Source organism: Homo sapiens, chromosome 14, assembly GCF_000001405.40.
Source record: "Homo sapiens chromosome 14, GRCh38.p14 Primary Assembly".
In the NCBI taxonomy this organism is placed as follows: Eukaryota; Metazoa; Chordata; class Mammalia; order Primates; family Hominidae; genus Homo; species Homo sapiens.
The window spans coordinates 95153208-95180843 of NC_000014.9; the positions used below are offsets into that span (position 1 = coordinate 95153208).

At 43.5% G+C, this 27636-nt stretch overlaps 1 protein-coding gene and 1 long non-coding RNA gene across 32 annotated transcripts in view, besides 4 other annotated features; one reads left to right on the forward strand and one right to left on the reverse strand.

Annotated features, from left to right (window-relative positions):
• DICER1 (dicer 1, ribonuclease III) overlaps window positions 1-4803 on the reverse strand; it is a 71783-nt gene extending 66980 nt beyond the window's left edge. For 24 of the 31 annotated variants that reach the window (NR_172715.1, NR_172719.1, NR_172720.1 and 21 more), the window contains exon 1: window positions 4023-4322. The gene's annotated coding sequence lies outside the window, so the exon portion shown is untranslated. Of the gene's footprint in view, window positions 1-4022; window positions 4323-4512; window positions 4696-4723 lie in introns of those variants that run through there. The other 7 variants (NM_001395678.1, NM_001395690.1, NM_001395680.1 and 4 more) reach the window with 3 other exon arrangements.
• Window positions 3613-3972: a silencer, noted in NCBI's record as "silent region_6041". NCBI's record gives its function as "represses an Ori minimal core promoter by ATAC-STARR-seq in GM12878 lymphoblastoid cells {active_cell/tissue: GM12878}" and the evidence as "EXISTENCE:reporter gene assay evidence [ECO:0000049][PMID:35858748]".
• Window positions 4033-4492: a silencer, noted in NCBI's record as "silent region_6042". NCBI's record gives its function as "represses an Ori minimal core promoter by ATAC-STARR-seq in GM12878 lymphoblastoid cells {active_cell/tissue: GM12878}" and the evidence as "EXISTENCE:reporter gene assay evidence [ECO:0000049][PMID:35858748]".
• DICER1-AS1 (DICER1 antisense RNA 1) lies at window positions 4481-26726 on the forward strand. The gene is made up of 4 exons (NR_015415.1): window positions 4481-4651; window positions 4986-5027; window positions 5669-5828; window positions 26297-26726. It is a non-coding gene; the product is annotated as a DICER1 antisense RNA 1 (long non-coding RNA).
• Window positions 4583-4682: an enhancer, noted in NCBI's record as "active region_8947". NCBI's record gives its function as "activates an Ori minimal core promoter by ATAC-STARR-seq in GM12878 lymphoblastoid cells {active_cell/tissue: GM12878}" and the evidence as "EXISTENCE:reporter gene assay evidence [ECO:0000049][PMID:35858748]".
• Window positions 4723-4792: an enhancer, noted in NCBI's record as "active region_8948". NCBI's record gives its function as "activates an Ori minimal core promoter by ATAC-STARR-seq in GM12878 lymphoblastoid cells {active_cell/tissue: GM12878}" and the evidence as "EXISTENCE:reporter gene assay evidence [ECO:0000049][PMID:35858748]".
• Window positions 26727-27636: the final 910 nt, after the last annotated feature.

Sequence of the window (27636 nt, forward strand, 5' to 3'; positions counted from 1 at the left end):
CTCCGTCTCAAAAAAAAAAAAAAGACTGGGTGAGAATTCCTATTTGGAAAATCCTCACTGCCCATGTTGTCCACAGAGCTTATTCCTGAATGGATTGTTATTTAGCATCTGTCAACAGCCTGAATGAGACAACTGATATTCGAGGGACACCACCCAAAAGAAATTAATGAATCAAACCACTGGAACAGTGAACACCTGTATTACTAAAGCTTTTCTATTATGCCTGAGGCTTTTATCCAGTTTCTCTAAAATGGCATGTGAAAAAATGTTTCTCTATCGTTTGTAAAATGTAAAACATTTTCTCCATATATTGCTAATGTTATTTAATGTAATAATCCAAAAGATTGATTATTCTTCATACAAGAGAAAAATCTGCTTCAAATTGGTATGCTTCCTTTCATTAATCAACGTGAGTTACATGCAGCACTCACCTTTCCTTGCCCCAATCATTCATCTAATTCTCTGCCTCCACATTCTATACTACCAACCTTTACCATTTTCATAGTACTCTAATACTTTCCTATTATAAGACCATTTCAAATCCTTTCTCAAAATAGACATCATAAACTATTAAATAAATGTACTAATACTAGAGTCTTAGCAGAAATTTGGAAGAAGTGAAAACTAGCCATCAAAAAATCAAAAGGTCCAAGCCCCACAGGCTAAGGAGGTGGAATACCAAGAAAATAATGCTGCCTCAGAAGACTAGTCATTTGGCAAGTCGTAAATTGCAAAGAAACCTGTGAATAAGAGCGAGTATAATACATACACTGGGCTTTCAGGATGAACTAAGCTCTTGAATGTCCAAAAAGCACAGCAAAAGGTAAACAAAATAAGTCACTTGGCTCCAACTTTCTCTTTATACAAATTAAAGACCTCACCAATATCTTCCTCTGGCATTCAATAAAGCACATCACTCCATGTTTGATCAGTTTTTTGAATACCTGCCAGACACTATGATTGGAACCAAGATCGTAAAAAGGAGTCGACCCTGGGCTTCAGAGAGATTACAGATTTTACTGACAGAGGAGTTGTTTGTAGGAAATTATCACTGCTTGGAGGAACCCTGAGAAAACTCATACTGCAATAAATTCTGAGTCTAGTCTAGTGTTTTGAAGATCAAGAAACAATGTGACCACTTTGAGGTATATGTCTAAAAGAAGGGAAAGCATGGACTCCAATGAATTATTTGTATACCTACGTTCACAGCACCATTATTCACAGTAGCCAAAAGATAGAAGCTACCCAAGTGGCCATGGACAGATGAATGGATAAACAAAATGCAGTATATTCATACAATGAAATACCATTCAGCTTTTCCAAGGAAGGGAATTCTGACATCTAAATCATCACAGATGAGCCGTGGAGACACTATGCTGGGTAAAATAAGCCAGACACAAAAGAACAAATACTGTATGACTCTACTTATTTTGAGGTTTCTCCAGTAGTCAGTGACAGGAAGTAGAATGGTGGTTCTCTGGCATTGAAGGTAGGATGGAATCAGGAGTTAGTGTTAATGAGGACAGTTTGAGTTGGGAAAGATGAAAAAGTATGGAGATGGATGCTGGTAATGACTAAAAACAATGTAAATGTACTGTATGCCAGCTAGTTGTACACTTAAAATGGTTCAACGTTGTGTTATGTATATTTTACCATGCCAAAAAAAAAAAAAAACAACTATCTGAAATATTCAAATAACCATTCATTCACCTGAACATTTAAGGTTAGACACAGCTTCATTCATTCCACAAGTCTTAACTGAGGAGTCACTACACGTGATGCAGCCCTGAAATCCATTTGGAACAGTAATGCAATACAAAAAGCATGCCTCCAAAGATTCTGAAACCAAACCACAATTCGATCTCGGCTCTGCCACTTCGAGATTCCTAACTTGGGGTAATAATCACTGACTCTTAGTTTCCTTGCCTATAAAACAAGGACAATATCGAGTTGATCGCAGGGTCACAGTGAGGATTAGAAGAGAATGTACGTAGAACCTGAAACATCTTGGCGCATAACAAGGAGGCACTCAATAACACGTTTCCCTTATCTCCTTTGCCATGAGCAAGTGGAAACGTGACCATGACATGGTAGGGTCGCAAGTGAGAGACTGTCTACGAAATATCTACTTTCTCAAATGAAACAAGCACCTCACATGTCAGATAGTGGTAGAGAATAAAACATCCCAACGCCATAAAAGTCACCCTCTCTAGAAGATAGCACTACAAGTACTGTACAACCCACTATATGACAAAATCACTGTCAAATAAGAATCATGAGCCACATCAAAAGACAATGTCTTCTAAAACCAAGACAATAAAGCTCAATAATAGCAAAACAACCTAGCTACCCAACTCACACATTGAGCCACGGGCAAAATACAGCAGAGCAGTCAGGGCTTACCCTTCAAACATGAGATGGAAGCATAAAAAGTAAAGCAGGCCCTTACTAAAAAGGATTGTAGGAAAATGTCTTTTCTCCCCAAATTAAAATGGACTAACTGTTCTCTTCTTAAAACAGCATTTTGGTGCCGTGAGTAAATCTATAAACCTATGTTACCATGATCAATGTTTATAGTGACCATGTTAAAAGCAATCTTTAGTTTTTTGTTTTTTTATCTATTGAGTTTTATGGAATATGCCCTAAAATGAAGTTTTGAAATAATTGTGTATGTATGTGCATGTACACAGCACATATTACATATAATACACACGTGCCACAGGTAGCTTTAAAGTAGACTTTGCAAAATAAACTGGCTATTCCAGAACCTAATTTCCAAAGATATCAATAATATTGAAAATTACTATTCTCTAGGACCTGGCTTATCCCGAACCCATCTTTTAATAAACTGAGTTTTTTGGTGAGGATGTATATTTTTATTTAGAAAACTTAACGTTTACACCAATACATATTCAATATAGCTAACCTGTTTTAACAGCACATTTTTAACAATATTTTCCGAGTTGCTTAAATCCTAACCTGAGTCCTTTTCCACTGTTTGAAAACAAGCACCACGAAGACACCTGACAATCAGGATTGTAAAGATTCAGAATATTCGAAGACAGAAGCATAGGCGTCCAAGTGATCCTCTTTCATCAGATGAATGTTTTTAAAACCTGAAAGTCCTAAGAACACTTACTTATCGTGTAGACCAGTAACGTGTCCCTTTAACCACAACTCTCTCCACAAAAGCACGGAGTTAACACTACACAAATAGGACCCTCCAACTCATCTCCACGTTTCCGCGGATCTTCAGGTTCCTAAGGACACACTCAGTGGTTTGCTGGCTCTGACCTCCAGGCAGAGCCATCAGGGCAACTCAGCTTTTCTGGACAATCTACAGAAATCTGATGTGCTAACTTAAAACATACACTGATTTCCCCAAAATCAAAAACCCTGAAGAAAGGGTCCTCCGCAGGGTCTAGGCATTTTGGCACAAAAACATCTGAGGGGAGAGGCAAAAGAATGGCCTCGGCCCCTGCCCGCCCCCCAGGGCCCCAATCTGGTCCCCTGACAGTAATCACACAGGACCCTCCCGGGAGGGACCGAGAGCCCAGCTTCGTCCCCTCCGGGCGCGGCACAGCGGCCCCATCAGAGGAGGGCCCCAGGGTGCTCCGGCAGGTCAGGCGCGCGTCTCCACCTCCGCTGCTCCCGCGCCACCTTAGCGCGCGTGACGGGACCTGTCAAGAGCCCCAGGCCTCGCCAGGCCGGGGAGTGGACAGGCGCCGGCATCCCCCACCACGCCACGGCGGCCCGGAAAGTCTCCCAGGGCTGCCTCGCGGGGAGGCGCCGGGGTCCGGGCCCAGGAGCAGAGCCGAGGCGGGCAGACGCCGGGTCCACAGGCCGCGCTGTGCGGGACGACGAGGCAGGCGAGGCCGCGCCCTTCGTCAGCGCCCGCCAGGCCCGGACGCGCGGCTCGGGGCCATGGCCGGCACGCGGGCCTCCGCGCGGAGGCGGGAGCGCGGCCAGGCGACCCGCTCCCCGCCCCGGACACAAAGCTGCTCCGCGGGAGCCCGCCTCACCTGCAGCACGGGGCGCCGCGGGCCTTCGAGAACCATCGGACCCCGCTCCGGCGCGCGCGTCACAGCCCAGGCCTCCCGGAGCCGCCCGGCGCCGCCGCCCCCGCCGCCATTTCCTCGCGCTCGCCGTCGCCTCGTCCCCGCTGTCAGGTTACTCCATTCACCTGGGCCTGCAGCAGCCTGCGCCGCGCCTCCGCCTCGACCCCTCCCGCCGGCGCCTGCGGAGACTGCGCAGCGCCCGGCTGGCCGGCAGCCAGCGCACGGCCCGCGGCAACGGCGCACAGCCGCTTGGAGAATCCCACTGGCTCCCGCACCGCCCCTCCGCGCCCCCACGCTCCGCTCGCCCCGTGGCGGCATGAGAGCGAGCCTGTGATTGGACAGGGCCTGGCGGTGAAAGGTTAATCCCGGCCCCCCAGCCACTCAGGAGCAGGGAGACAGCGGGCGCGCGCGCGGAGGCCGGAGAGGCGTTTGCGGCCCAGCGCCTGGACTGGACCTTGGCGTTGGGCCGCAGTTGCCCGGAGTTTTTGGGGCCCCCGGGAACCCGCGCGCCGAGGCCGGCTAAGTTTGGCAGACTCTCTGAGCTCTCGGAATTCGACTGCCTCCATTGTTGCTCCTTCTGGCACCCACAGACCGTAACGTGGCCGTAATTGTTTCCCGGAGAGCTTAGCTTCCCTCTGAGCACCTCCCTCCCCTTTTTAAAGTACCTTCCCACTCGCCTGCGTTTCCTCGCGTTAGTGGTGCAGGGGCCTCCGCATTTGGGGAAATAACAAACACCCACTTCCGCCCCCCACCCCAACCGGGATCCCCAGATAATGAGAAATAGATGGTGGCCCTCTGTTTGTAAGCTGTTCATTTGCATAGGTCGGAACCGCGCACCACAGCTTGAAGCTAGGAATTAAAATATCGGTGGGAATTAAATAAGTGGCTGGCTTAAAGAACATCTTCTTAATTTATCCCCAAATGTAGACATCTCTTCAGTGGACCCCCTGATAGGCCGGTTTGCTCCAGGTGAGGTGTGCTCACAGCAACTGCAACCGTGTTTCTTTCAGACCATGGGCGTGAGCAGAACCTACTATGCGCCCCTGCTGCCTGGGCTGTGCTGTTCAGTTTGGGGCCACCAGCCCCACATGGCTCCTGAGCACTTAAAGTATGGCTAGTCGGAATCGAGATATATGCATTCTTTACCAAATAATGTTCAAAAAATTGTTACATGTTGAAGTGATAAACTTTTTCCATATATTGGGATAAAAGTTTTATTTGTTTATTTTTTAGTGTGGGTTCTACAGAATTTTAAATGTCACCTGTGGCCTGCATTATATTGCCATTGGGCAGGCTGATCTAGGGCTTGCATGCCTGTGATCCTTAGGTGCACCCTGTGAGGTAGGTGCTTTAACTGTGTGCACCCTGTGAGGTAGGTGCTTTAACTGTGTGCACATTGTGAGGTAGGTGCTGAAACTGCTTCCTGTTTTTTTTTTTTTTTTCTTTTGAGACGGAGTCTCACTCTGTCTCCAGGCTGGAGTGCAGTGGTGCGACCTGGGCTTACTGCAATCTCCGCCTCCCAGGTTCAAGTGATTCTCCTGCCTCAGCCTCCCGAGTAGCTGGGATTACAGGGGCACGCCACCACACCCAGCTAATTTTTGTATTTTTAGAAGAGACGGGGTTTCACCATGTTGGCCATGATGGTCTCGATTTCTGACCTTGTCATCCGTCCGCCTTGGCCTCCCAAAGTGCTGGGATTACGGGCGTGAGCCACCGTACCCAGCCTGCTTCCTGTTTTAACAGACGAAGAAATGGAATAACTTCCAACAAGTAAGTAGCCAGTAAGTGAACAACTGAGATTTGAACCCACGTAGTCTGGCTTTGAGGCTGGTGTGCTCAGTCATTACTGTGCTAAAATTTTGATAATATATTTACTATGAATTGGCTTAAGGTTTCACTTGAAAGTAGCATATTTATGGGCAAAATTAGGAAGTAGGATGCTCCTGGCAGACCCATGTATTTAAAAAAGTAGTTTCTTATATGTCAAGCACGGTGAGCATGTCATACCTTTAAGACCCCAGTCATACATATAAGGTTTTCTTTGTAGCTAGGAATTAAAATATCGGTGGGCGTTAAATAAGTGTCTGGCTTAAAGAACATCGTCTTAACTTATCCCCAAATGTAGATATCTCTTCGGTGGACTCCCTGATAAGCCTTTATGAGAAGGACAGCATCTCAGTATGGGGGTAGGCACTGGACTCTATTGGCAGTGGAAATTTGTGGGCTGGTACAACTTCAGCCCCTCTGGTTGCCCTCTTGCAATCTGTCAAGACTAGCCAGGCTGCTTGTTCCATCAGCAGGTATACCTGATTTTTTTATTTTTTTAATTTTATGTATTTGTTTTTTTCTTTTTTGAGGCAGAGTTTCACTCTTGTCGCCCAGGCTGGAGTGCAATGGCGCAATCTCGTCTCACTGCAACCTCTGCCTCCTAGGTTCAAGCGATTCTTCTGCCTCAGCCTCCCAAGTAGCTGGGTTACAGGCATGTGCCACCACGCCCGGCTAATTTTTGTATTTTCAGTAGAGACGGGGTTTCACCATGTTGGCCAGGCTGGTCTCGAACTCCTGACCTGCCTCGGCTTCCCAAAGTGGTGGGATTACAGGCATGAGCCACTGCGCCTGGCCGGTTTGTCTGATTTTTATCAATTTCAGTTTTTATTTTTAAAATAAATAGTATATCCATATTATTCATTTATCAGAAAGCCTATAAAAGATACACAGTGGAAAAAGATGTCCCTCACACCTGTCCTAGTGTCACAAATAGGTGACCACTGTTTCCTGCTCATTCTTCAAAATGTTTATGTATATATGAGCCAAGATATGCCCTTTGTGTTCCTTGTTTAGAAAAATGCCGGCATGCCATACATATTTACTCCACCTTGTGTTTTTTACTTAATGTATCCGGGGGGCATGTTTATAGTAACACATAGAGAGCTCCTTGCTGTTTTTTCAACCCCCTTAACATATTATTGCAGGTATATCCATACCATAATTTACCAATTCTCTATTGATGGACATTTAGACTTTAAGTCTTTTGGAATTAAAAGTTGATCCATTTGGAATCGATTTAATATATAGGGTGAGGTATAGATCCAAATTAATTTTTTTGTCCAGGTGGCTACACAGTCATTTATTGAGCAGTTCACTTCTGGACTCTGTATCCGTTCTAATGGTCTATCTATTCATGCTCCACTTGCTGGTTTGTTTTAAATCCAGAGACATAAAATCTTGTAAGGGATATTGTTTCACACTTTGTTTGGATCACTAGAAATCTTAAAGCCTATATTTCAGCCCGTGTTAAGCAACGGTATAGTACCATGTGGCATGCATTTTCTATGGGCTAATTTTTATTTTCCCTTAGCCCCTATTATTTCCACAATTTGGTTTATTTTTTGTAGAACAAGCCAGGATTTAAATATACCTTTAAGACTCTCTGTTTGCAAGTAACAGAAACCAAGCTGAACTAGCGCAACCAAAAAGGGAGAATTTACCATAATGATATAGGTGCTTCTCACAAAAGCCCAGAACAGGAATACAGCCACATCTTAGCAAAAACTAGAACCAGTCATTGAAAAGCTTCCAGGAACCCAAAAGGTACTCTCTGTGCCCCTTGTGATTGTTTTCTATGTATCTCTGCTAACTTGTTCTCTCTGCTTTTCCATCTACATGGGAGAATATAGTCACTCCCATATTGGACTGGGCTGTCAGTTCAGTGAGGAGTCTGAGCCCAAAGAAGGAAGGTGGGGCAGCAGCCCTGCAAGGCCAGACAGCTGATTACATACAGGAGAACTACACAAAGAAAAACTATATTGAGGCTAATGGGAGCCAGATTTTTCCCTGTTGGAGAAGGGAGTTACAAGTACAGAAATAAGAAAAGCAAGAAGTTTGTGTGATTGGATTGGAATTGGAGATATTCATGTAAAGTCATGGTTCTTAATACATGTAGATATAAAAATAAATATAAATGTAAAAGTGTGTATCTATATATTTTGTGAGATTCTGAAATATATATTTGGTCTTTGACCTCATTTTCTGGTGTACAACTCCTAAATTTCTTACAAACACCGAAGTGATGTCTTTTGTATGCTAATGAGTTGGCTCGTGGCTGGGAGCCCCTAGGTAGCTTTAGGATGGGGTTGGTCATCAGAAAGACCAAGGCAGGATCAGAGGGTTGGACCTTCAGCCTATCACCAACTTCTTGGAGAAGAGAAGGGTTGAAGGTCAGGTTATCACCAGTGGCCAATAGTTTAATCAGTCATCCCTTATGTAATGAAGCCTGCATAAAAACCCATGAGGACAGGGTTGGAGAGCTTCTAGATAGCTGAACACCAGGAGGTTCCTGGGAGGGTGGTGCACCCAGGGAAGGCATGAAAGGTCTGAGCCCCTTCTCCCACACCTCATCCTATTTATCTTTTCATCTGTATTGTTTGTAATATCTTTTGTAAACATAAGTGTTTGCTTGAGTTCAGTGAGCTGCTCTAGCAAATTAATCTAACCCAAGAGGGGGTCATGGCAACCACAACTTGAAGCCTGTCGGAAGTTCTGGAGGCCCAGACTTGGGACTGGTCAGTGGCCAGGGACAGAGTGGGGCAGTTGTTGGGATGTGTTGGGGAGTGAGCCTCAACCTGTGGGATCTGATGCTATCTCCAGGTTAGAAGGGAATTGGAGGACACCCAGTTGGTGTCTGCTGCAGAATCGATTGCTTGCTTGGTGTGTGGGGAAACGCCCCCCGACATTTGGTCACTGAAGTCTTCTTTGTTAATTGTTGAGGGTGAGGGAATAGGGTGTGTAATTTTTCCACAGTCAGTTATATACACACACATGTCTATAAATGTATTTACATATATTTCCTAGGCCTAACCAGTGAGAAGGTCTTGGTGCAGCAACACCACATTAGCCAAGAGAACACCTAACACCTAGCTCTAAACACCTTTCTCCATGAAAAGGAACCAGGGCGCTTTAGAGAAATGGCTGATTTTAGGGTTGGGCCAGAGAAAGTATAGTATGAGACTGGAACATCTTGTGCTAGAAAGTGTGGAAATGCTCAAGAAATGGTGGAGACAGTTCAAAAGGACAAAGCAATCAGCTTGAAAGGGCTCCTGTTGGCCAAATCTGGGACAATTTGAACATCAAAATAAATCACAGTAGCAGGAGATTATATCCCATGGGTTAAAATGGAATCTATGAGTCCACACTTTCAAAAAAAAAAAATAAATGGCAATAAAGAGCTCTTTAGAATAGAATTCAATAATATATTTAGAAAAAAGAATGGAATTGTAACCCAGTCATAGGTTCAGCAGCCCACTGCTTACAGAGCACAATTAACAAGAGTGAGGTCTGCCGTAAAGAAAGTGACTTTTTATTCCAAAGCTTAACGTAGGGGGAAAAGTGCAGGTTCCTGCCTTAAGGTACTGATTTGCTTTTGGGGCAGAAAGCAGGGGCTTTTAAAGTGGGACTTGGCATGAATGGCATGCAGGGGAGGGAGCAAGCAGGTGAGGATCTACATGACTCTCCTTAGCGCTTTTATCTACCGGGTGTTTGAGCTGGCACCATGGCAGGCAGGACTAGATTGTAAAGTGGCCATTGTCTGAGATGCTCTCCAAGTGGGACAGAGTTTCCTAGCAGGCATAGTTTAGATTGTAAATTGACTGTTGTCTCTCCAGGCAGTCTCCTGGTGGGAGAGATTTCTGGCTTAGAACCTTCTAAAAGCACATGGTTAAATAAGCTTGCCCTGTAAGGAGTGTCTGGTGAAGGGAAGGTAAAGATTATAATTGCATTTCTAAGGAACTAAGTGGGAAGTGGGAGAAAGGAGAAAAGGAGAAAAGAAAAAAAAAATGTTTTAAAACACAGTTATCTTTCTCTTAGAAAAATGGGGGTACTCAGTAAACAGAATTAGAAAATCACCATTTGGCAATCATCAGACAAGAAATATCAATGTTTGCTAAATCTAGTGGGGAAAAGTTGAATAAGGAATGAGTTACTTACATAGGTTCAAAGCATCTCCCCATGAAATTCTTATTTAAAAAAACAGGAACTTTACAAAAGAGGAATCTAGTAGATATCGTCTTACTCATGACAAAAAAAAAAATCAGCATTAATCAGGCTGCACTTTGACCCATTTATCAGTTGCTGAAAGTCACACAGCACTCTAGATACTGACCAGTTGCATCCGCAGTTGTTCCTATCAATAGAATTTCCAACTTTAGGATCATGACTATTTAACAGTTGATTTTCATCTCTATTGTTCCTATAGATAGAATCTCTGACATTAAAACCATAAGGTTTTTGCTTAAGGATCAGTTAAGATGTTTACAGACCCTGAATTCCATAAGCATTTTGAAGCGCAGAATCAGCATGAGAAGACAGCTTCCTCATCTCCTGCCCTATGACTTCAACCTGCACTGTTCAACCAATGAATGATCTCTGCCCTTCGGCCCACTCCAAAACCCTAAAAAACCCTACCCCAAACTCCTTAAGGAGATGGATTTGAGGTTCCCTCCTGTCTCCCTGTTCTGTGACACTACGACTAAACCTCTCTGCTGCAGCCTGGTGTCTCCACATGTTGACTTGCTGAATGCATTGGGCACTGGACCAATTATGGTTACAACCTTATCAAGTGCTGACAAGGGTATAGTACAACTGGAACTCGCATACATTGCTGATGGGAATGCAGATGCTGTAACCACTGTGGAAAACAGTTTGGCAGTTTCTTATCAAGTTAAGATATATTTTCCATAAAACCTAGTATATTGTCTCTCTAGAGAACCCTAATACACATATATATACATATATGTATATGTAGATATACACATATACACATGTGTGGATGTACACATAGACACGTGTGTGGATATACATATATACACATGTGTATGTGTGTATATACACGCACATGTGTGTGGATATACATATATACATGTCTACATAGATATACAATTATGTGTATATACATGTATATGTATGTATATGTGTATGTAGATATATGTGTGTTTGTGTGTATGTGTATGGAAGTTAATTTGTTAGGGAGAATTGGTTCCCATGTTCACAAAGGTGAAGTCCCACAATTAGGCAAGCTGGAAAATGAAAGAAGCCAATAGTGTAACTCAGTCCAAGTGTGAAAGCCTCAAAACCAGGGAAGCCAACACTACAGCCCCCATTCTGAGGCTGAAGGTCTGAGAGTCCCTGGGAGGCTGCTAGTGTAAGTCCCAGAGCCCAGAGGTTGAAGAACCTGGAGTCTGATGTCCAAGGGTGAGAGGCAGAAAAGTCTTCTTGCTCCAGAAGTGTGAGAGAGCAAAAAAGGAAAGCCAAGCAAGCTGAATGTCCCTTTTCTTCCACCTGCTTTATTCTAGCCACATCCCAATGTGATTGGATGGTGCCCACCCACATTGAGGGCTGGTCTTTCTTTTTCAGTCCACTGACTCACATGCCAGTCTCCTCTGGAAACAACTCATGGACACACCATGAGTTGTGGACACACCCAGCAACAGTGTGTCACCAGTGACCTAGGCATTCCCAATCCAGTCAAGTTGACGACTAATATTAACCATCACACCTAGCATTCCTACTCCTAGACATTTACCTAAAAGAAATGAAGCCAAAATCTAGAAACAACTCCAGTATCTATCAGTTGGCAAATGGAAAACAACTTGTGGCACATCCATATAATGGGACACTATGCAGCAATAAAAAAGGGATGAAATACTGGTATATGGAACAACACTGTTGAATCTTATAAGCAAAGTGAAAGAAACCAGACACAAAGGGTTATATAATGTAGGATTCCATTTCTGTGACTTTCTGAAAAAAAGCAGAGCTATAGGGAAAGAAATCAGATGTGTAGCTTTAGGGGTTATAATGGGGAGAATCTTTTTGGGGTGATAAAAATGTCCTATATCCTGATCGTGCCTGGTTGTTACACACTGCAAACATTTGTCAAAACTCATTGAACTATACACTACATTTTATATAATTCAAATTAGACTTCACTAATCCTGATTTCAAACCAAAATCTATGACTCTCCAGTGTAGCTCACTTATATTTTCAGGGTCACCCTAGGCTCTGGGCAAGTAAGGCACCAACCACCTTTGCCTCACATCTCATTGACTTGGACATGAAACCCATCTTCCCTCCATTGTCCAATATGCTCATTCATGCTCTCTAAGGTAACACTTACTAAAAATGCAAGAGGATATTAGCAGGAAGGTGGGATAGGAAGAAGGAGAGTTTGCCTTGTATCAATGAACACAACTTAAGTAAAATAGAAGGTATTGTTCTCAAAGTGTCTTCTGGACCCCATCATGGTAGAGTTCCTCTGTGACTTCACCTTTCTTCTCTTTCTTCCGCTCTCCTCTTTGGTAATTACTTGTTTATTCATTTATTGTTTTTTCATCTCCTGGAGGCTGAGAATAAAAGTTTGTACCTCTGCCCTCCCAGAACAATGAGTATTTGTTTTGTTCTGCTGCTGTAACAAAAAACCCCCCAGAAACAGCCGGATTGATCAACTCTAACTATTACACAGGTTTTTGAAAACTGGCCAGTCATTGACAACGCCAACTTTCTGAGACAGCCAGTTAACAAGTCTCAGCCCAATAACCATGCTTCCATAGCTAATGATCAGTCAATCCATAGATATTCCTGTTTCTGAAAATCCAGCAATCCCTGAACTCTAAAATTCCTAAATACGTATTTAGGATATGCAATGTGCTTTAATTAGAAAGACTGTATGATATAGTTTGGATGTTTGTCCCCTCCAAATCTCATGTTGAAATGTGATTCCCAGTGTTGGAGGTGGGGCCTGGTGGGAGGTGATTGGATCATGGGGCGGGGGTGGTTCTTCATGAATGGTTTACCCATTCCCTGGGTGATGAGTGAGTTCTCACTTGGTTCATGTGAGATCTGGTTGTTTAAAAGAGTTTGGGACCTTCCCCTTCTCCCTCTCTTGTTCCCATTCTCACCATGTGACACACTGGCTTCCCTTCACCTTCCACACTGATTGAAAGCTACCTGAGGCCTCACCAGAAGCCCAGTAGATGCTGGCATCATGCTTGTGCAGCCTGCAGAACTGTGATCCAGTTAAACCTTTTTCTTTATAAATTACCCAACCTCAAGCATTTTTTATAGCAATGCAAAAATGGACTAATACAGAAGATCAGTATAAGGAGTGGGGCATTACTGTAAAGACAGTTGAAAATATAGAAGTACCTTTGGAGCTGGGTAACAGGCAGAGGTTGGAAGAGGTTGGAAGGCTGAGAAGAAGAGAGAAAGATGAGGGAAAGTTTGGAACTTCGTAGAGACTTGTAAAGTGGTTATGACCAAAATGCTGATAGAGATATGGACAGTGAAGGCCAGGCTGAGGAGGTCTCAGATAGAAATGAGGAAATTACTGGGAACTGGAGCGAAGGTGACCTGTGTTACATCCTAGCAAAGAGCTTGGCTGCATTGTGTCCTAGGAATCTGTGGAAGGTTGAAATTAAGAGTGATGACTTAGGTTATTTGGCAGAAGAAATTTCTAAGCAGCAAAGCATTCAAGAAGTGGTATGACTGCTTCTAACCTACTATCAGATATGGGAGCAAAGAAATGACTTAAGTTGGAACTCATATTTAAAAGGAAACCAGAGTGTAAAAGTTTGGAAAATGTGCAGCCTGGCCATGTGGTAAAGAAGGAAAAAGTGTTTTTCAGCAGATGAATCTGACCACTTGCTAGAGAGATTTGCATGAATAAAAGGGAGCCAAGTGCTAATATCCAAGGCAATGGGGAAAAGGCCTCAGAGGCCTTTCAAAAATCTTCGAGGCAGCCCTTTCAAATGCCCAGAGGCCTAGGAGGAAGGAATGGTTTCAGGGGCCAGGCCCAAGACACTTCTGCCCAGCACAGCCTCAGGACGCTAGTCCTGGCATCCTGGCCACTCCAGCTACAGCTGTAGCTCAAGGGACTCCAGGTACAGCTTGGGCTATTGCTTTGGAGAGTGGAAGCCACCATAAGCCTTGATGGCTTCGATGTGGTGTTAAGCCAGCAGGTGGACAGAATGCAAGAGTGAAGGAGGCTTTGCAACTTCCACCTAGATGCCAGAGGATGTATGAGAAAGCCTGGGTGTGCCCAGGCAGAAGCCTGCTGCAGGGCCAGAGTCCTCATGGAGAGCCTCTAATAAGGAAACACCAAAGGGAAATATGGGATTGGAGCCCAAACATAGAGTCCCTCCCGGGGCACTGCCTAGTGAAACTGTGGGAAAGAGGCTGTTGCCCTCCAGACCCCAGAATGGTAGAGCCACCAGCAGCTTGCAAACTCAGTGTGGAAAAGCTGTAGGTACTCAACTCAAAGCCATGAGAGCAGCCATGGGTGCTGCACCCTGCAAAGCCACAGGGTAGAACGGCCCAAAGCCTTGGGAGCCCACTCCTTGCACCAGTGTGCCCTGAATGTGGGACACAGAGTCAAAGATTATTTTGGAGCTTTAAGATATAATGACTTCCCTGCTGGGTTTTAGACTTGCAGGGGGCCTGTAGCCCCTTTATGTTAGCTGATTTCTCTTTTTTGGAATGGGAGTATTTACCCAGCATCTGGGTACCACCACTGTATCTTGGAAGTAAATAACTTGGTTTTTATTTCACAGACTCAGGTGGAAAGAATGGCTCTCCAGATGAGACTTGGGCCTAGGGATTTTTGAGTTAACGCTGGCAAAGTAAGACTTTGGGGAGTTATTGCAAATGCATGATATTTTTAAATGTAAGAAAGACGTAAGACTCGGGTCCAGGGGTGGAATGATATAGTTTGGATGTGTGTCCTCTCCAAATCTCATGCTGAAATGTAGTCCGCATGTTGGAGGTGGGGCCTGGTAGGAGGTGATTGGATCATGGAGGTAGATCCTTCACAGATGGTTTAGCACCATCCCTTTTGTGGTGACTGAGTCCTTAGTTCACATGAGACCTGGTTGTGTAAAAGAGTTTAAGGCCCCCTTCTCCCTCTGTTTATTCTGCTCTCACCATGTGATACACTGACTCCGTCTTCATCTTCCACCATGACTGAAAGCTCCCTGAGGCCTCACCAGAGCCAAGCAGATGCTGATGCCATGCTTGTATAGCCTCCAGATCTGTGAGCCAGTTAAACCTCTTTTCTTTATAAATTGCCCGGCCTCGGGTATTTCTTTATAATGGTGCAAAATGGGCTAACATACTGTGCCTTATAAGTACAGATCTTCTTAAGCAAACAATAAATTCAGCCTTTTTATTCAAATACTAAGGGGTGCCCTCTTCCTTGGACAGTTCTCAGTGCCTGCTAACATCCCAAACTAGCAAGGACACACCCACCCTGATCAGATTTAAGGGGATATTTCCCCCAAGAGAGTTCCTTTCCTGGGGGAATTCTGAGTGCCACCTGTTAAAATATTTTTTCTCGTTTGTTCAGTAAGTATTCATTGAGCACTTCCTTTGTGTGAGAAATTATCTCAGGGGCTAGAGCTACAAAGTTGAAAAAATAAGATGTGTTCCCTATGTTCATAGAATTTACAGTACAGCAGGAGCAAAATAACAAATAATATCAGTAAAGTTTGATGATTGCTATGATAGCAAATGCACATGGATGGATATGGGGCCACATAATTAGGGGACTCTAACATAGTCCATGGGGTCAAAGAAGGTCTTCCTAAGTAAAGAATCTACCTGTAACACTGAGACCTGAAGTACTAGTAGCCAGGTAAAGGGCACAGAGTGTTCCAGGTAGAAGGAACAGCATGCCCAAAGTCCAAAAGCAAGGAGGTCTGACTTATTCAAAGAAGTCCAGTATTTACCCAATGTAGTGCAAGAGATAAGAGACAGGAAAACGGCACCAAAACACAAAGGAACTCATGTATCATGTTAAGGTTTTGTTGTTTCATCTAAAAGAGAAAAGCCATTGAAAGGTGTTTCAGTGAAAGGTGTTCAAGCAAAAGGTGATATGATCAGATTTACATTTTTACAAGTTAATTCCAGCCACTGTAGAAAATAGAGGAGAACAAAATTGAAGTGTGTGTTTGCAATAGTGTAAAACAGCAATCCCCAACCTTTTTGGCACCAGGGACCAGTTTTGTGGAAGACAGTTTTTTCACAGGGAAGGGGAGTATGGTTTCTAGACGAAACTGTTCCACCTCAGATCATCAAGTATTAGAGTCTCATAAGGGGCGTGCAACCCAGATCCCTCGCATGCGCAGTTCACAATAGGGTTCACGCTCCTATGAGAATCTAATGCCCCTGCTGATCTGACAGGAGGTGGAGCTCAGGTAGTGTGATGGTTAATGCTGAATGTCAACTTGATTGTGTCGAAGGATGCAAAGTATTGATCCTGGGTGTGTCTGTGAGGGTGTTGCCAAATGAGATTAACATTTGAGTCAGTGGGCCGGGAAAGGCAGACCCACCCTTAATCTGGGTAGGCACCATCTATTCAGCTGCCAGCATGGCCAGAATATAAAAGCAGGCAGAAAAACATGAAAAGGCTAGACTGGCTTAGCCTCCCAGCTTATATCTTTCTCCCATGATGGATGCTTCCTGCCCCCAAACATCGGACTCCAAGTTCTTGAGCTTTGGGACTCAGACTGGCTTCCTTGCTTCTCAGCTTGCAGACAGCCTATTGTGGGACCTTGTGATCGTGTGTTAATACTTCTTAAACTCATATATATATATATATATGTATATCCTATTACTTCTGTCCCTCTAGAGAACCCTGATTAATACAGGTAGTAATGCTTGCTCATCTGCCACTCATCTCCTGCTGTACTCAGTTTTGAACAGGCCATGGACTGGTACCAGTCAATGGCCTAGATGGGGACTCCTGGTGCAAAAGATGTAGTAGCGGCTTTGAGGATAGTCTTAATGGGAGAGAGAAATATCTGAATCAGAGACATTTGAGCAGTAAACGTGTGAATGGTTTACTCTCCTTTTTTTTTTTTTTTTTTTTTTTCCGAGATGGAGTCTCACTCTGTCGCCCAGGCTGGAGTGCAGTGGCGCAATCTCAGCTCACTGCAAGCTCCACCTCCCGGGTTCACGCCATTCTCCTTCCTCAGCCTCCCGAGTAGCTGGGACTACAGGTGCCCGCCACCATGCCTGGCTAATTTTTTGTATTTTTAGTAGAGATGGGGTTTCACAATGTTAGCCAGGATGGTCTCGATCTCCTTACCTCGTGATCCACCCGCCTCGGCCTCCCAAAGTGGTGGGATTACAGGCGTGAGCCACCGCGCCCAACCTACTCTCCTTTTTCATAGTTGTGGTTTCAAGGCCCCCAAGACTCTTTATCTTCTAGAAAGTAGAAGATGCAATTAGGGTACAACATTGCCAGGCATTAAGAGCTTGGAAATCTGACCAAGGGCCTTCTTCATCATAATTAAGATAAACAGTCTTGCCCAGGTGCTGTGGCTCATGCCTGCAATCCCAGCACTTTGGGAGGCTGAAGTGGGCAGATCACTTGAGGTCAGGAGTTCGAGACCAGCCTGGCCAACATGGTGAAACCCTGTCTCTACTAAAAATACAAAAATTAGCCAGGTGTGGTGGCAGACATCTGTAATCCCAGCTACTTGGGAGGCTGAGGCAGGAGAACCCCTTGAGCCCGGGAGGCAGAGGTTGCAGTGAGCCAAGATTGCACTTGGTGACAGCCTGGGTGACAGAGTACGACTCTGTCTCCAAAAAAAAAAAAAAGATTAACAGTCTTTGCCAAAGGGGTAAACTTCTTTTGTTGTTGTTATTTAGTTTTGTTTTTAATAAAATAATTAAAACAGCAAAACATAAACCTTAAGCTATTCAAATAGCATTTTCAGTTAGAAATAAAATGGAGAAAAATGACATATAGTATCGATAAAGTTTGATGATTGCCATAATAGCAAATGCACATGGATGGTTGTGTCTCCTCACCTGCCTCATCATTGTCTAAGCTGCTGAGTGCTTTCTTATGCTTTATGCTTTCGTTGCCTTTTTCCACTGTGTCAACACGAACCCTGGGTGATAAGAACTATTTTACTATCTGCATTTTACAGATGAGCTATTTGAAATCTAGGAAGATTTTTAATTTGCTCAAGTTTACACAATCAGTAAGTGTAGGAAAACTGAGTTTCAAAAAAAGATGTTTTGATTCCAGAATATGTTAAAAAGCCAGATTCTTAGGACAAGTCCCAGAGAGTCTTACCAAATAGGTCTGGGGTGAGGCCTGGGACTCTGCAGGTAACGCTGATTCAGGTGGCCTCCCATGGACCCCAGTAGTGGAAGCCCCTCTCTGTCCTGCTCCTAGAGCACTTCTGAACCCCCAAGGACTCAGGATGGACAAGCATCACTGTGAACCACATCTGGGGTCCCACAGCCATTGCTGCCTTGGGCCATATTTCATCCAAGCAGACACCCTGAATCCCTACTATTTGTGAGCACTGTGTTTACTAGGTACTGGGGCCACTGTGGCAAGTACTGCTCACAATCCTGGCCCTCCCAGATCTGTGCTCACCCTTTTCTCCCCCTACTGTTTGCTCCTTGAAGACCAGAATCAGATCTTTCATAGTCAACTTTGTTTTCTGAGGTTCTGGCCATGGTGCCTGGCATGTAATTAAAGCCTTGCAAAGCTTAAATAGTTTGTTGTTCTTTCATGAGCTTAGAGGGTGCTTGTTTTTTGTGCTACCTTACCTGCAACTTAACTTTCCTGCCCATCTCTGCCTTACACATCTTTTACTAGAGGGTTGTTCACAAAAGTTTGAAACTTGTATGTATGCAGTAAAGGACACATTTTATCATCAGTTTGGTTGCTCTTTGATTATCTACAGGTACAAAATGACCCAAAACATTAGGAGATACCCTGTTATTTCTATTAACCATAAGGAAAAAGAGTTCATTATAAGATATATTTTATCTTTGTAAATTATCATTAATCTTTCAAGATTGGCCAAGACAAGCAGGTAATTACCAAGCTTCCACCTTACCTGGTCAAGGGCTAACCTGGACTTTGCATTGTCCCATACCCTTTCTGAAAGGCTACCTACCTTCTTGGTTTGCAAAATATGAAACTCAACCCACAGTCCCTATATAATCTTTTCCCGCTCACCTTTCAGAATGAACATTTGAACCTATGTTTACCATTTTAAGGTCAACTTCAATTTTGACACTTCCTATAGCATCTACTCAGCCAAGCTGTCCTTCAGCCAAAATCTCTTTGATGAGTCTAGAGTTGAGAAAACTGCTCAGGAGAGGGAAAGTGCGGTGGCTTCACTTCAGCTGCCTCTGGATAGGATGCAGACTCACCCTTGTTCATTGTAGATTCTAGTATCTAAGTGTCTGTCAAAGTCGTTCTGTCATCCCATGGCTGGATCATTTGGCCACTTTCTGAGTCTGAGACACATTATGTTTAATTCAAAAGAAAGATTCTTTTCAAATATTTAATTATTCTTCTTGTTCCATTCATTCATTCCTTCATTCTTCAACAAACATCTTTGGAGCACTGGTCATGCTCTAAGACTGCCCTGGGGACTGGGGACATAATGGAGCGTAAGCCCTAGTGTGTCCAGTGGGAGGGTAGGATGTTACGACCCCTAGTTTACCTCTGTCCCCTGCCCTCCCACTGGACTATGAGCTTCCCAGAGTCACACAGACTTATTCTCCATTGTGACTCCAGTCTCTCAGAGAGTCATAGGCACAAGTTACAAAGGCGCTTTTCTAAGGGTTAATGATCTTAAAATCAGTAAACCAGTTTTTTTAGTGATCTCTGGTAGTTTGCTTAATATAAAGAAATCTAATTATATAACTTTCCTAAAGGTTATCTGTTTAAAAAGTCAGCAAAAGATGACTTAGTTTTTGAGATAAATAATAATAGTAGTGATACAGTAATGATAAATAACATGGATAGAGCATTTTTTCCCTTAGAGATGGGGTCTCCCTGTGTGGCCCAGGATAGAGTGCAGTGCTTATTTACAGGCATGATGATCGTGTACTACAGCCTCGAACTCCTGGGCTCAAACAATCCTCCTGCTTCAGCCTCCTGAGTAGCTGGGACTATAGGCACATGCCACCACACCCAGCAGACAGAGCACTTTTTATGTGCCATATCTTGTATCAACAGATGGATCGTAATCACCTGATCATTTCTTCTCCCGAATCTTATCTTGGTTAAAAGTGCTGCCCAAGTCCAGTTCGTGGCCCAGTACGGTGCATCCCACTGGTAAATTTGAACTCTCTCTTGTGACAGAGAAAATTCTGTTTCCTCCTCTTTGTACTGTTATTGCCTGGTTCTGGTTCTCTATTTCTCTATTTTCTGTCTCTCTAACCTGCAGTCCTAATCTGCTACCATCCACACTCTCCTTTGTTGCAAGCAAAGCCTATTGCCTGCTGTCCTGTCCCTGCCCTGCATCAAAACTCTCAATGTCTCCCCAGTGTCTGCAGACTTTTTAATCTAGAGTTCAAAGTCTTCAGATGCTGGTTCCTGCTTATGTAACTTCTTGCATTGCTAAGAAGTTAGTCTTCTAACACCTTACTAAGCTTTAGCCACATCAGGCTGCACTGTTTCCTACACACATGATGAAACTTTGCACCTCCATGCAATTGTTCATGCTTTTCCTCTTGCCCACAATGCCCTTCCTCTTTCTGTGCCCTAGAAATCCTGCCATTCTTCAGTGCTTATCTCAACTGGTCTCCTCCTTTGGGAGGTTGTCCCATTCTGTGACCTGATACCGTACTTGCTCCAGACCCTACTCCCTGCAGCAGAAAGAATTTCTTCCTTCTCTCTACTTCCAAGGCACACTACATATACTTTTATTCTAACACTTATCACAGGGTATGGTTTTTCTTGAGTATCCATTTCATCTACCAGACAATAGTTCCTTGAAAGTTCTCTTAGTTCAGAAAATGAAATCTGGCCTGTGCTAGGCACAACTGCTGTAAACAAATGACCTGGTCCTTCAAGGAAAGGGAAGACCCTTTCCTTGCCCTCCGATGGTGGTCAGCCTGGGATAAATGGGAGCACCACTGGCCTCTCCTTACCCTTTCCCCTGCATTTCCTTTTTCCTGCCCATCTCTCTTAACACTTTCCAAACGTCCTTCCCCAACTCATCACTTAATTTTATCCCACTCCAGTGATTATGATTTTAGGTAAAGCAGAGTAACTCTTTTACACTCTAAAACCTTGGCTTTTCTGAGTCAGCATAAAGTCAGCAGATCACCAAATGTCAGCCTGGACTAGGGGCTGCCCTCATACTGCTCACCTAGGAGCTCCTTGAGGGCAGCATCCTCATGTTAATTATATTTATATCCCTCAGAGTCTAGCAAAAGGCTCTGAGCATGACATCACTTACAAAACTCCTAAATTCATTATGAAAGTAAGTCCGTAAAGACAAAAGCTGGAGATATCCAATTCAAAGTATTTACAGTAGATGGAGCTATCTATTTCACTGTGGTCCACTCTGTATTTCATGTATCATGTGAAATTATTAACATTCTGGCAATTAATCAGTTCATACTTTTTGAAGAAGCATATTAAAAACCATGAGACTTGCCCTGTTTATTCTTGTAAGCTATAAGTTGCTAGAAAATATTAGTTTCCCTAAATATTGTATTGTTATTAAAAGCAATTGATATAAGTAATTGAAGACATTAGAAGCCAGAGATACAATGAAATCTTCAAGACTTCAATAGATGAAATGTGCAAAGGACATTTACATTTCCTGTAAGGGCAGCCAACTTATACATGGAGAGTTCAACCCTCCCACTTGTCATCTTTAAAAAGGCAAGAAAATTATTCTTTTACAAATATATTTCTAAGATATGTTTTCTAAGTTGACCAAAAGTGTAAGTGCCCAAATCTGATAAAGTTCTGTTGAAACTGTTACATTCGTAGTAATGATAATTGCTAGTCTTTTGGAAATCAACTTGGTAGGAAAAATAAAAATAATCCTTCTTTTGAACTGCTGTGCTTTTGTTAAGAAATAATCTAAAAGGAAAAAGTCAAATTCATGAGGTCATTTGTTACAGCATTTTTTATCGTAAAATATTCAAACAACCGAAATAATAAAATATTAAGTGACTAAGTAAAATATGATATTAGAATTATTTGTCATCCTGTAGCCATTAGAATATGTATGCAATCAATTTAGAGGTAGGGAAAAATGCTCATGAGTGAGGGGGGGCTGGACCAAACTCAGAATATAATCTTGTATGTATTCTCTGTTAGGCTTTCTAAAAATTATACATAGATAAAACAAGGATTGAATTAAATGGAAAAATTAAAATTGTATATATATGTTAAGTGATTACTAGTGAAATTTTTTTTTATTATACTTTAAGTTTTAGGGTACATGTGCACAACGTGCGGGTTTGTTACATGTGTATACATGTGCCATGTTGGTGTGATGCACCCATTAACTCGTCATTTACATTAGGTATTTCTCCTAATGCTATCCCTCCCCACTCCCCCAACCCCACAACAGGCCCCAGTGTGTGATGTTCCCCACCCTGTGTCCAAGTGTTCTCATTGTTCAATTCCCACCTATGAGTGAAAACATGTGGTGTTTGGTTTTCTGTCCTTGCGATAGTTTGCTGAGAATGATGATTTCTAGTTTCATCCATGTCCCTACAAAGGACATGAACGCATCCTTTTTTATGGCTGCATAGTATTCCATGGTGTATATGTGCCACATTTTCTTAATCCAGTCTATCATTGATGGACATTTGGGTTGGTTCCAAGTCTTTGCTATTGTGAATAGTGCTGCAATAAACATACGTGTGCATGTGTCTTTATAGCTGTATGATTTATAATCCTTTGGGTATATACCCAGTAATGGGATGGCTGGGTCAAATGGTATTTCTAGTTCCAGATCCTTGAGGAATCGCCACACTGTCTTCCACAATGGTTGAACTAGTTTACAGTCCCACCAACAGTGTAAAAGTGTTCCTATTTCTCCACATCCTCTCCAGCACCTGTTGTTTCCTGACTTTTTAGTGATTGCCATTCTAAATGGTGTGATATGGTATCACATTGTGGTTTGATTTGCATATCTCTGATGGCCAGTGATGATGAGCATTTTTTCATGTGTCTGTTGGCTGCATAAATGTCTTCTTTTGAGAAGTTGTCTGTTCATATCCTTTGCCCACTTTTTGATGGGGTTGTTTGTTTTTTTCTTGTAAATTTGTTTGAGTTCTTTGTAGATTCTGGATATTAGCCCTTTGTCAGATGAGTAGATTGCAAAAATTTTCTCCCATTCTGTAGGTTGCCTATTCACTCTGATGGTAGTTTCTCTTGCTGTGCAGAAGCTCTTTAGTTTAATTAGATCCCATTTGTCAATTTTGGCTTTTGTTGCCATTGCTTTTGGTGTTTTAGACATGAAGTCCTTGCCCATGCCTATGTCCTGAAAGGTATTGCCTAGGTTTTCTTCTAGTAGGGTTTTTATGGTTGTAGGTCTAAGATTTAAGTCTTTAATCCATCTTGAATTGATTTTTGTATAAGGTGTAAGGAAGGGATCCAGTTTCAGCTTTCTACATATGGCTAGCCAGTTTTCCCAGCACCATTTATTAAATAGGGAATCCTTTCCCCATTTCTTGTTTTTGTCAGGTTTGTCAAAGATCATATGGTTGTAGATGTGTGCTATTATTTCTGAGGGCTCTGTTCTGTTCCATTGGTCTATATCTCTGTTTTGGTACCAGTACAATGCTGTTTTGGTTACTGCAGCCTTGTAGTATAGTTTGAAGTCAGGTAGCATGATGCCTCCAGCTTTGTTCTTTTGGCTCAGGATTGTCTTGGCAATGCGGGCTCTTTTTTGGTTCCATATGAACTTTAAAGGAGTTTTTTCCAATTCTGTGAAGAAAGTCATTGGTAGCTTAATGGGGATGGCATTGAATCTATAAATTACCTTGGGCAGTATGGCCATTTTCATGATATTGATTCTGCCTATCCATGGGCATGGAATGTTCTTCCATTTGTTTGTGTCCTCTTTTATTTTCCTGAGCAGTGGTTTGTAGAAAGAAAGGATGATGCTGCTGCAATTCCATGAACATTAGTGCTTGCTTTATTTATTGGGTATTTTTACAGACGGTAGCTCATTTCAGTTCTCGCAGGGGGACTATTTCTTTTAAGCTTTAATCTCTAGAGGTTTAATTTGGTTACTTAAATTTTTAAAATTTTTATGGTTACTAGTAGGTGTATATATTTATGGGGTACATGAGATATTTTGATATAGGCATACAATGTATAATAATCACATCAGGGTAAATGGGGTATTCATCCCCTCAAGCATTTTTTTTTTATGTTATGAACTTTCCAATTATACTTTCAGTTATTTTTAAATATACAATAAATTATTGTAGTCATCCTGTTGTGCTATCAAATACTAGATCCTATTCATTCTATCTAACTATATGTTTGTACCCATTAACCATCCCCCACCCCTCCACTACTACCCTTCCCAGCCTTGGGTAGCCATCCTTCTACTCTCTGTCTCCATGAGTTCAATTGTTTTGATTTTTAGCCCCCACAAATAAGTGAGAACATGAGAAGTTTTTCTGTGCCTGGATTATTTCACATAATATCCTTCAGTTCCATCCATGTTGTTGCAAATGATAGGATCTCATTCTTTTTTATGGCAGAATGGTTTTTCATTGTGTATATGTACCACATTTCCTTTATCCATTCATTTGTTGATGGACACTTAGGTTGCCTCCAAATCTTGGCTGTTGTGAACAGTGCTGTAATAAACATGGGAGTGCAGAGATGTCTTCAATATACTGATTTCCATTCTTTTAGGTATATACTTGGTAGTAGGATTGCTGGATCATATGGTAGCTCTATTGTTAGGTTTATTTTTTATTTAAAAAAACATTTTTTTGAGACAGTCTCACTCTGTTGCCTAGGCTGGAGTGCAATGGCGCAATCTTGGCTCACTGTAACCTCTGCCTCCCAGGTTCAAGTGATTCTCCTACCTCAGCCTCCTGAGTGCCTGGGATTACAGGTGTGTGCCACCACACTTGGCTAACTTTCGTATTTTTAGTACAGGGTTTCACCATGTTGGCCAGGCTGGTCTCAAACTCCTGATCTCAAGTGATCCACCCGCCTCAGCTTCCCAAAGTGCTGGGATTACAGGCGTGAGCCACCATGCCCGGTCCTATTGTTAGTTTTTTGAGGAACCTCCAAACCATTCTCCATAGTGGTTGTACTAATTTACATTCCCAACAACAGCATACAAGGGTTCCCTTTTCTCCACATCCTCGCCCCCATTCCTTATTGCCTGTCTTTTGGATAGAAGCCATTTTAACTGGAGTGAGATGATATCTCATTGTGGTTTTAATTTGCATTTCTCTGATGATCACTGATGTTGAGCCCCTTTTCATATGCCTGTTTGCTATTTTTTTTTTTTTTTTTTCAGAAATGTCTATTGAGTTCTTTTTCCTATGGGGACTGTTATGATTTGCATTCACAGTTGAGGGAACTGAGGGCTGGGAATGTTGAGACTTTTCAGAGGTCCTAAAAGAATGGACCCCTGAGTCAATGGCACACGAAGCTCCCTGTCCAGCTTTCTTCCACATGGCAGGACGTAGGCCTCAGACTGGAACCCTGGCAGTCATTTTTGCCCTGTGGGTCTCTCTGAGCCCTGCCCACCAGAAGCAGCTGCAGATCCCATGGCCCAGGTCACATTCTCTTGGGGGCCACTTCTGGGGACACACAAGGAAGACTGATGTGCCAGAAACATTCCAGTGGCCCCGGGTTCCTATTCCAACTCTGCCTGCACTATCTTCATTCAATCATTCCTTCCAGCCTCAACCTTCTCATGGGAAGGACGCAACCACCCACCACAAAACTCACTGTGAGAGTCTTGTGATAGTATAGTATGTTCATAGCCTAGCGCCTGGGAGAGTGCTCAAGAATGGGTAGCTGTGAGCCTGGCAGGTAGTGCACACCTGTAGTCCCAGCTACTCAGGAGGCTGAGGCAGGAGGCTCCCTTGAGCTAAGGAGTTCAAAGCTGCAGTGAGCTATGATCGTGCCATTACACTCCAGCGTGAGCAACAGGGTGAGACACTGTCTCAAAAAAAAAAAAAAAAAAAAAAAAGAAAGAAATGGTAGTTGCTCTGGGTGAACTCCTTCAGAGGATGGATTTGATTTCATTACCATCTCTAAGCCCCAGACACCCTGCAGGCCTTCCATACAGGTATGTATAAGGAACAAGCTGCCCACATCACCCCTGACAACCAGGACTTAGACAAATGTCACCAAGGCTGCTAGATGCCTGCTGCCAACCAACAGCCCTTCTAACTTGTAATTCATTTAGCACAGGTTGGAGCTGAAGGAGTGCCCAGGCTGCGGATGGAGGAAGGACGTGCTCGGGAGAAGGTGAAGATGGGAGAGAAGCAAGATCTTCTGTGTTTGGACCAAGGACACATTTCCTTACTCCATAGCAGCTGTGGTCAGTGGCTTAGCTCGGACAAGGAGATGAGAGCCCATGTGTTGTGAGGGTTCTTCTGGGAACTCTGAGAAGGCAGGAGCCGCCCCCGCCCTTCACTGCCTCTCTTCCATTCTGCAGCATGGAATATGGATGTGTGGTCTGGATGTACAGACACCATTTTGGACCATAAAGACAAGGACGATTGTCTAAGGATGACACAGCCAGAGCACTGAGAGTGGCGAGAAGGACAGGGGAGCTGCTGTGCCAAGCAGGACTGTCTCTCTTAAGAGAAAAATAAAATTTATTGGTGTTTAAACCATTGCTTTTTTGGGCTGTCACGTCACTGGAATTAATCTGAAACGCTGCAGCAATTAATGGAAAAAATAGAACCCCATCTTCACGCTTTGAGCTTTTTATGGCATAACCACTCTGTCCAAAGTAATATACCACCAAGTTGAAACATGATTATGCTCAGCTGTTTACAGGCTTTGGAAATTTCAGTACAGGGTTTATCTTCCTGTCATACAGCCTGCCATTCCCCTTTTAATGTGGCCAGATCGTTTGATGTGTTTTCTCTTTGTCTCCATTCAAGCAGGGAGAAGGCTCTGTGCATCCAGGAAGGTTTGTGAAGGGCCTCCTGGTATCTGTATTCAAAAGATTTAAAATTCAAATACAGCAGGGAGAGTGGTCGGAAGACCCACTTCGGGGTGGCGTGTCAGAATGGGATTGGTGGGGGAGAGATCAGTCTGGGGGCTCCGCAGATGCCATGGGAATGGCCTCATGGTACACTGGGGACCTGAGATTCCAAAACTGGTCAGAGATGCCCAAGCCCAGTCAATCACGGCACAGCAGCAGAGCAGCTAAGGGGCCATGGGGGCTGCGCCCTACCAGTGCAGACAGAGGCACAGTCACCTCAGGGCACTTCAGTGCCACAGCCCGAGTACCCTTGGACAGGGAGAGGAAAAGGAGATGAGCAACGGGCGTCTCAAACTTAACATGCTCAGATTCAGGAACTCCGGGTCTTCCCCACCATCTGCTTCAGCCCCATTTCCCCATCAGCCAATGGCATCTTTATTCTTCCAGATCCTCAGGCCAAAACCTTGGAGCATTTTTCAATCCTTTTTCTCTTACACTGTACACCCAATCCATTTGCAAATCCAGAGGGTCTACTTTCAAAATACATCCAGAATAAAACCACTGTGGCCCACTTCCGCTGCACCCACCTGTGCCA